The 9,336-nt window shown below is 46.5% G+C and overlaps 1 pseudogene, besides 2 other annotated features; it reads right to left on the bottom strand.

The window, feature by feature from the left end:
* On the bottom strand, nt 3,511-4,565 carry PPIAP68 (peptidylprolyl isomerase A pseudogene 68; annotated as a pseudogene).
* Nucleotides 6,594-7,093: an enhancer, noted in NCBI's record as "H3K27ac hESC enhancer chr2:206811287-206811786 (GRCh37/hg19 assembly coordinates)". NCBI's record gives its function as "activates a minimal SCP1, AML or CMV promoter by ChIP-STARR-seq in naive H9 embryonic stem cells {active_cell/tissue: H9 hESC(naive)}" and the evidence as "EXISTENCE:reporter gene assay evidence [ECO:0000049][PMID:30033119]".
* Nucleotides 8,565-9,065: an enhancer, noted in NCBI's record as "H3K4me1 hESC enhancer chr2:206809315-206809815 (GRCh37/hg19 assembly coordinates)". NCBI's record gives its function as "activates a minimal SCP1, AML or CMV promoter by ChIP-STARR-seq in naive and primed H9 embryonic stem cells {active_cell/tissue: H9 hESC(naive and primed)}" and the evidence as "EXISTENCE:reporter gene assay evidence [ECO:0000049][PMID:30033119]".

The raw sequence follows: 9,336 nt of genomic DNA, 5'->3' as shown, positions 1-9,336 counted from the left end.
GATAACAGCAATGTTCAGGGAACAAGAGAGATAACCTTAAACTCTGACCACAGGTGAGCCGGGCGGAACAGAGCCGTATTTCTCTTCTTTCAAAAGCAAATGGGAGAAATATTGCTGAATTCTTTTTCTCAGAAAAGAACATCCCTGGGAAAGAGAATACGTGCCTGGGGGTGGGTTTATAGACAGCCCCCTTGGGTGTGGCCGTCTTCTATGGTCGAAACTGTAGGGGTGAAATAGACCCCAGTCTCCCATAGCACTCCCAGGCTTATTAGGAAGAGGAAATTCCCTGCCTAATAAATTTTGGTCAGACTGGTTGCTCTCAAAACCCTGTCTCCTGATAAGATGTTATCAATGACAATGGTGCCAGAAACTTCATTAGCAATTTTAATTTTGCCCTGGTCCTGTGGTCCTGTGATCTCGCCCTGCCTCCATTTGCCTTGTGATATTCTATTACCCTGTGAAGCACGTGATCTCTGTGACCCACACCTATTCGTACACTCCCTCCCCTTTTGAAAGTCCCTAATAAAAACTTGCTGGTTTTGCAGCTTGTGGGGCATCACGGAACCTACCAACATGTGATGTCTCCCCTGGACGCCCAGCTTTAAAATTTCTCTCTTTTGTACTCTGTCCATTTATTTCTCAAACTGGCCGACGCTTAGGGAAAATAGAAAAGAACCTATGTGACTATCAGGGCAGGTTCCCCGATAGTCTAGGATGCTGTGGTTCTTTCTTCTGTATGTTGTCCATATTTCTAAATAATAAGCTTATATTATTATGTTCTTAGTTATCCATCTCGGGTGCAATCTTTTGGTTTCCTGTGGTACTTGAGGGCTCACCTCCCTCATACCACTCCCTTGTCCTCTCTGCCCTTCTCTCCCCACTGCATCCTTCCAACATGGTGATATCACAGCTGGGGGTTAAAGGATACTCAGGCCTCACTGTTGCCTGGCCAAATTGTACAATATTTTACTTTTCCTGCAGGCAATAATTATATCTTTTTTTTTAACTTTTGTAGTTTTCTATGGATCTACCACTACACAAGGATTTTTTGGTTCCTAAATACTTCAACAGATCTTTCCAACAAAATATCCTGTAATGGTTTTTCCAAATGCTCAGATCACACCGCCTCAGTCCCATGCTTCCCAGATGCCCAGGCCCCAACCCCTGTGTTCTGCTCCAGCTGGGCGGGGTTCTCTGCTGGTGCACATGTGGCTTCCTGGGATTTCACTTCATTGTTCATCTATGTTCCATTTTTCTCTGTTCTTGTTTTCTGGAACTTGCATTAGACAGGAGACCTCCTGGACTGATCCCCTAACTCCCCCTCCCCACATTTTCCATCTCACCTTCTCTTGGTACAACTTTCTGGAAGATTTTTTTTTTTATTAACATTTCTTCCTTGAGATATAATCCGGAAGATTTTGTCAGCCTTATCTGATAAGCATTCTATTGAATTTTTAAATTTCAGCTGCCACATTTTTACTTTGTAAGAGTTCTTTCTTTTACCCTGTTTGTTCTTATCTGAACTGCTCCCTCAGTGGCTTCCCACATCTGTCTCTCTATATAAACACACACACACATGTGTGTGTGTATATACATATATACATATATATGTGTGCATATATATGTTAATACCTTGTAGAAGTTTTAATCTGTTCCATCCATTGATTGTGTTTCTCCCTGTTCTTTTTTTTCTGATTGCTTTATTCATTTACTTATCAATCAAATATTTATTGAGTTCCTTTTATGTGCCAGGTATTGTTCTAGTTGTTGAGGATATAATAGTAAGATAAGGTTCTCTGTCTTTATGAAGGTTATAGTCTAGCTAGGGAAAATAATAAACAAATGAATTATATTATGGCTATGAATAAAAATTAGGCAGGCGAAAGTGTTTTTTTTTTTTTTTTTTTTGACCACTGTCAGGAAAGAAGGTGTTGTTTTCAATAAAGTGTTCAGAGAAGATGTCTCTGTCTGAGGCTTCTTTACTCTCATGTCTGCCACCTGGGCTGGGAGGACTCATGTGGCTTGGGCTTCCTCACAGCATGGCAGCTGGGATCTAAGAGGGAATGTTCTGAGAGCAAGGTTTCCACAGAACTAACTACAAGGCCTCTATGGGTTATAGAAGAGTCACTAAGGCTAACCCAGATTTAAGGGGAGGGGAATCAGACTGTCCTTTTTGATGGAAGAGTGGCAAAGTCACATTGCAGAAGAATGTAGGTGGGAGGAAGTATCTCAGATGTCTTTGAAAAATACAATGTGCCCCACATTGTAACACCCTCTATTCTGTTCAGCTGGTTGCTATTTCTCCACCCACTTTGTCTTCAAACATTTCTTGAAGTTCAATATCTCTGGGTGCTGCTTTTTTTGTTGTCCTTATGAGTGAATAGCCTTTTATTATCCGTTCACTGCCTAGTTGGGTTTGAAAAGAGGAAGGGGATAGATGCGTGTCACCAGTTGGCTATTTTTGAGTAGTAGTCCAGATGATCTACAGTGCAAGGTTGTTGAAAATTGGTATAAGAAAACGATGGCAGAGCTTAGGAATGGCTGAAGTAAAATATTTTCTCTTTTTACCTTTTTTCTGCTCTTGATTTATTTTGGAAGAAATAAAAGCACATGGAGGTTAGATAACTTTCCAAAACATCGCTCAGCTAGCTGCAGAGCTGAGACTGCATTTGCATTTCAACTTGTGTTTTACAAATTCTTTGGGATATACTGAAAGAAATCCAACAGAGCCCTATGTGATGGCTCAAGCCTGTAATCCCAGCTACTCGGGAGGCTGAGGGGAAATGATTGCTTGAGCCCAGGAGTTCAAGACCAGCTTGAATAACATAGGGAGACCCCATCTCTAAAAACAAAACAGAAAAGAAAACAATCCAACAAACAACAATTTAAAAAACAACTACCTAAAAAACAACAACCTATTCAGAGGTCAAAGGAATTTGGGAAGCTAAGTTAAGCAAAGTTAAACAACTTACTTTTTTTTTTTTTTGAGATGAGGTCTCACTCTGTTGCCCCGGCTAGAGTGTGGTGGCACAATCTTGGATCACTGCAATGTCTGCCTCCTGGATTCAAGCAATCCTCCCACCTCAGCCTCCTGAGTAGCTGGGACTAGAGGCACATGCCACCTCGCCTGGCTAATTTTTGTATTTTTAGTAGAGATGGGGTTTCACCATATTGCCCAGGCTAGTCTCAAACTCTGGGGCTCAAGTGATCCACCTGCCTCAGACTCCCAAAGTGCTGGGATTACAGGTGTGAGCCACCGCACCCAGCCAACAACTCTTTCTTTCCTTTTCCCTCCCTCCCTTCCTTCCTTTGTTTTTATTTCATAATTGTAAACTGAACTCTGCAATCCAGCTAGGCATGGAAGGGAATAAGGAAAACATAGACCCAAAGGGAACTGCAGCGAGAACACAAAGATTCTAGGATACTGCAAGTAAATGGGGTGGAGGGTGCTCTCCTGAGCTACAGAAGGAATGGTCTGGTAGTTTAGATAAAACAGAAGTCATACTTAGAGTTGTCCACAGTCAGCAGTGGTGATCTTCTTGCTGGTCCCGCCGTTCCTGGACCCAAAGCGCTCCATGGCCTCCACAATATCCATGTCTTCTTTCACCTTGCCAAAGACCACATGCTTGCCATCCAACCACTCATTCTTTTTTTTTTTTTTTTTTTTTTTTGAGAAAGAGCCTATCTCTGTCACCAGGCTGGAGTGCAGTGGTGTGATCTCACTTCACTGCAACCTCTGCCTCCCGGGCTCCCTCGCTGGGCTTCCCCTGCAGAGTCACGACTGCTCCCTGGGCCAGGCTTCCCTGGGGGCCCTCCGAGCTCAGCCAGCCAGGCTCTCAGGCCCGACACCTGCCTCGGCCAGGCCCCAACCCCAGGGGCAGGCGGCCCCTCCTGGCTTCTCCTGTAGGGTACCTTCTTATCCCCCATCCCCCCAGGAAATGGCGCTCCCTCAGCCATGTGGCACTTCTGGGCTCCTGACCTAGGCCATGGGGAGGTCTGGGGATTCTCCTGCCTCAGCCTCCCGAGTAGCTGGGACTACAGGCATGCGTCACCATGCCCGGCTAATTTTTCGTATTTTTAGTAGAGACGGGGTTTCGCCATGTTGGCCAGGCTGGTCTTGAACTCGTGATCTCAGGATCCTCCCGCCTTGGGCTCCCAAAGTGCTGGGATTATAGGCGTGAGCCACCGTGCCGGGCCACATACAACCATTCAGTCTTGGCAGTGTAGATGATAAATGGAACCATTTTTGTTGGGTCCAGCATTTGCCATGGACAGGATGCCAGGAACTCTATGCCTCAGGATGAAGTTTTCCTCATCAAATTTCTCCCCATAGATGGACTTGCCACCAGTGCCATTATGGCTTGTGAAGTTACCACCCTGACACATAAACCCTGGAATAATTCAGTGAGAAAAGGAACCCTTACAACCAAATCCTTTCTCTCCAGTGCTCAGGAGTGAAAGTTTTCTGCCGTCTTTGGAATCTTGTCTGCAAACAGCTCGAAGGGGATGTGGCCCAAGGGCTTGCCGTTGACAATGATGTTGAAACACACGATGGGGTTGATCATGGCTGGTAGTATGGGGCTCCTGGTGGCGGCAGCAGTGTCTGCAAAGCACAACTTTTTTTTACTCAGACTTTTTGGAGGCCTTTTTTTTTTGAGATAGGGTCTTGCTTAGTTGCTCAGGCTGGAGTGCAAGGGCAGCGTGACCATGGCTCATTGCAGCTTCAACCTCCTAGGCACAAGTGATTCTCCCACCTCAGCCTCTTGAGTCGCTGGGACTACAAGCATGTGCCAGCTAATTTTTGTATTTTTTGTAGAGACGGGCGTCTGTCTGTGTTACCCAGGCTGGTCTCAAACTCCTGGACTCAAGTGATCCACCTGCTTTGGACTCCCAAAGTGCTGGGATTACAGGTGTGCATGGCCTTCTGAGGCTTCAGTGTGCTAGGAAAGCAGGGTTTGAGTTTCCAAGCTCACGTGACTGCTTTTGCGGGGTGTCTCATTTAGACTACAAGTGGCTCTCAGAGTGTCCCGGTCACACTTCCCTTTCCCATCTTGTAATTATATCACCAACAGAGATCTGCATAGCATGGATAGATGGTCAGTGCTTTCATAGGATCAAAAGAGTCTGCATACTTAGTAACTGATGTTTTCATGTACCCCTGTTTAGTAAACAGATGGGCTCATTTAGGCAAGCAATTTAAGAGCTTTTCATTCATGCCTGGAGGGCCAAAGAAAGGAGGTTCTTCAACATTGGATTTGTTTTTTTCAGCATTCTAACATCCACTGCTTATTGGTAGCCGACTTGAGAAAGTTTCGCTATTGATGACTACAGTTTAGGAAACATCTATTTTCAATCTTTTGCGCCTTCAGGGCCATTTCACTTTTGGCCACCAGATGGCAGAGCACGGTCGTGCTTCGTGCTTGGGTTTTCTCTGTGGTGGGTTTATGTTGCGCGCTGACACAGGAGTAGCCGAAGCCTTGAGCCTCTGAGCAACAGCTGTGTTCTTGGAACACGTAGGACATTGGATTCTATCTTGTTTTAATGATTCCTGGACTTATTTCTTACTATGTCAGTTCTTAGGACAGTATAACTGAGCCAGAAACAGGACTTTTATAAAAAGTGCTTCATTTTTCCTGAATGAGTTGTCGGCTCCTGCTACTGACTTGCTGACATTTGCTGTTTGGAGGTCAGTTTTCTGATTGCATAACAAGTAAATTTTTTTTTTTTTTTAGTTGGAAAGAGTAAGTGAAGAAATTTGTCAGATTTTATGTTTGGGTACAGGGTCTCATTCTGTTGCCCAGGCAGTGGCGTGATCATAGCTCATTGTAATCTCAACCTCCTGTTCTCAAACATGATCCTCCCAAGTAGCTGGGACTGCAGACGTGCACCACCACTGCTGGCTAATTTTTGAAAAATTAAAACTCCTTCCATTCAGATTGCTCGCTTTGACACTGTGCAAAGCCCTAAAGGGCCTGACAACACCTCTATGTTTTAAATTCGGATCTCAAGAACAAGGATGTGATTAAAGATCTGTATGGATGCGGGATGATTTCTGCTTTTCTAGTCCAAGGCAAGATCCTCTTTTGCGAAGGAGGTGAGGATGAAGATACAAGTAAGATTCAGGAGAGATAGGGCCCCGAGGGAAGGAAGAGGGGCCAGGACAGCAAACAGTAATCTCCCCTGGGTGGTTTGGCTGGGGAACTTCTTATTATGGACCTACGAGGAGGCACGCAGTTCTGAAGAGGCCTGACCCCCACCCCCCCAAGCTTTTTTTTGAGGTAGGGTTGCACTCTGTCACCCAGGCTGGAGTGCAGTGGCATGAACATGGCTCAACCCAGCCTCAACCTTCTGGGCTCAGGTGATCCTCCCACCTCAGCCTCCTGAGTAGCTGGGACCACAGACGTGAACCACCACGCCCAGCTAATTTTTCTATTTTTTTGTAGAGATAGGGTTTTGCCATGTTGCCAAGGCTGGTCTGGAACTCCTGGGCTTAAGCAATCCTCCCACTCCAGCCTCCCAAAGTGCTGGGATTACAGGCGTGAGCCACTGTGCCTGGCCTCTAAAACCCTTTGAAATGAAGAAAATTTAAATAGTAGTATGTTTGCAGCTGGTTTGGCAGACATTCTCCTCAAACTGGTTCTTGAGGATTGGAAATGGGAAGACAAATGAAGGAAGAACAGATCTTCATTTCTTCTCACCATCCTTCTATCCCTGTGCCCAGCACTGAGATTTGGGTGAAGACTGTCCTCTTTTTCTCTCTACCCACATGTGGAAATTCTAGCACACTGCGGTTCATTAGGTGCTCTGTGATAGCGGCTGGAAGGTGAGATGAGTGCTTGTTCACCACCTCCTGCCATGTCCTCTCTTAACATCTAAAGAACAGCCCGTGGGGAGGAATCGGCATGTAAGAAGTCCTGGCTTGGGCTCCAGCAGGCATGCCACTGAGCATGTTATTCTAGGAAAGAACAGGGCGGCCAGGGCTGTCCATGGTGTGATGGTCTGTGTCAGTGTGGTTTGAGTCTGGGGCATGTTCCCAGCATCTGCCCCTTCCAGCTCCCAGAAGTGGCCCTTCCCTGCCAGGATGGTGCTCGGAGGGGCCGCTGCCACCTCCTGCACCAAACCTGCCCTCAGCTTGTCTTTAGCTTCCCCATCTCACTGGGAGGGCCCCGGAGTTCACTGTATTGTCTGCCCTTGAGTCTTCAAGTTTCCATCCCCCTGGGGGCAACGAAGAAGCCACATCCTGTAACTTAGGGGCTGTGCCTGTGTTCTCACTGGGAACACAGCCATCCCCACTGCAGTCAGGGGCCAAGGGCGCATGAGAGCATCTTGTTTAGTATGAGCCCTGGGGTGAGATGTTGGAAGGATGGACGAGATGCCCTTTCCCAAGGTCTTTTCCTTTCCTATCATTCTAAATTTCCGCTGTGTTTTGAGACCCTTGAATTGTAGAGGCCACAAAAGTGAAAAACATGACAATTATTTATTGTCACTATTGCCATCTGTCTGATTCTCTGCTGGCACCCAAGGCCGCTCATCAATCTCTATGAACATCAAACAGATTACCACTGTTTAAGACAAAAGAAACGCTTTCATGAAAGATTATAAAAAGATGCAACTGGTGGGAGCCACCTCACTGGGACCCCACACCCTCAAGGGGACTGGCATAAAGCAAGCTGTCCCCAAAAGCACATCGGGGTGAGTGTTGAGCTCGAACATGGCTCCCGGGAAAGATGGGGTTTTTCTTTTCCCCGGCGTTTGTCTTTGTGTAGACATACCCACTTTGCTTCCTGACACCTTGTCTGGTCCTGCAAGATACCTTGGTTATACTTCTCCCAACATCAGAGAATTTTTAAAAGCTTAGTTGAAAGAATCATAATAAAAATCTATAAGCGCTGGGCTTTTATGTATTTCACTTTTATTGAATTCCTTCTAGTATAAAAGTAGCCTATTTTGTAGTATTCAGTGTAACGCCTATCTGCAGATAGAATACACTGAGTGGGGGCTGAGAGGCAGAGGCTGGTAGGAAGAGAATGGGCCAAGCTGGTTGGGGGTGGTGGCATCATCACATTCCAAGTCAAGGCCACTCCCAAATCTCTCATTTCCTTCTTTGCTTCCTTTTTGTGTTTATGTTTGTCTTTCTTTTTTTTTTTTTTTCCTTTAGAGACAGAGTCTCGCTCTGTCACCCAGGCTGGAGTGCAGTGGCACGATCTCGGCTCACTGCAATCTCCACTTCCCAGGTTCAAGCAATTCTCCTGCCTCAGCCTCCCAAGTAGCTGGGACTATAGGCACACGCCACCACGCCCATCTAATTTTTGTGTTTTTAGTAGAGATGGGGTTTCACCATATTGGTCAGGCTGGTCTTGAACTCTTGACCTTGTGATCTGCCCGCCTTGGCCACCCAAAGTGCTGGGATTACAGGCATGAGCCACCATGCCTGGCCGCGTTTATGTTTTTCTATAGGTTGGGTGATTTTCTAATCTAGCTGAAGGATGTCTCCTACATTTCATTTTTTTTTTTTTTGGCGTCACCTTGGGTTAATGATCAAGTAAATGACAAGAAAAGAGCACAGAACTAACAGCATCAAAACAGCTTTGTTTGGTGCTTTTGGATAAAACCCTCATTTCTTCCTAGTTTTATTCAGAAATCCAGGTGTGGAATCAAATTGTGCATGCATGTCAGCTCATAGCCTATTTTCAGTGTAACTTCCTGTGCTGTCTCAACGGGAAGAGATTTCACAGTAGTTGCTTCATCTCCCAGTCCAGCTTCCTCGTGTCTCTCAAATTCCTCTTCTCCAGCACTTTATCTACTATTGGTATAGCTGTGTTACCTTGGGTGCTGGGAGGTGCTTCACCGTGTCACTCAGGGTGAGTGACAAGCGTGGCAGCCTTGGCTGTGGGTGTCTGTGAGTCACTCTGCAGGCTGGATGTAGAGTGCGACATCCACTCCCTCACATCCACTCCCGCCAGGCCAGGCATGGGCCTCATCCTGCCACAGAGGGCAGGAGCATGTGATGAGGCTGGGGATGGGCGGGTCACCCTGCCCCACCTTCAGGACCAGGACCCACAGGACACCTAAGCACCCAGCGCTGAGTCTGCTGACCATATTTTCTCTTCTTTCCCATGGCTGGGCTTCTGCCTGAGAGTTCTCCCCAGCTTGCATGTCTGCATTTGGGGAACCCGCTCTCCTAGAATGTGACGTGCAGTCACGAAAGCTGGTGGGTAGACAGGGGCTAGCCCAGCACCTGGCAGAGGGGAAGAATGCAGCACAAAAATGCCAGCCCATGATTTCTGGCCCTAACAGCCTGCCCTCTGTGGTGTTTGTGTGTGTGTGTGTGTGTGT

Source organism: Homo sapiens, chromosome 2 (genome assembly GCF_000001405.40).
Source record: "Homo sapiens chromosome 2, GRCh38.p14 Primary Assembly".
Classification (NCBI taxonomy): Eukaryota; Metazoa; Chordata; class Mammalia; order Primates; family Hominidae; genus Homo; species Homo sapiens.
Note: the sequence above shows the minus strand (reverse complement) of the source record. Positions and strands in the feature narration are given on the sequence as shown.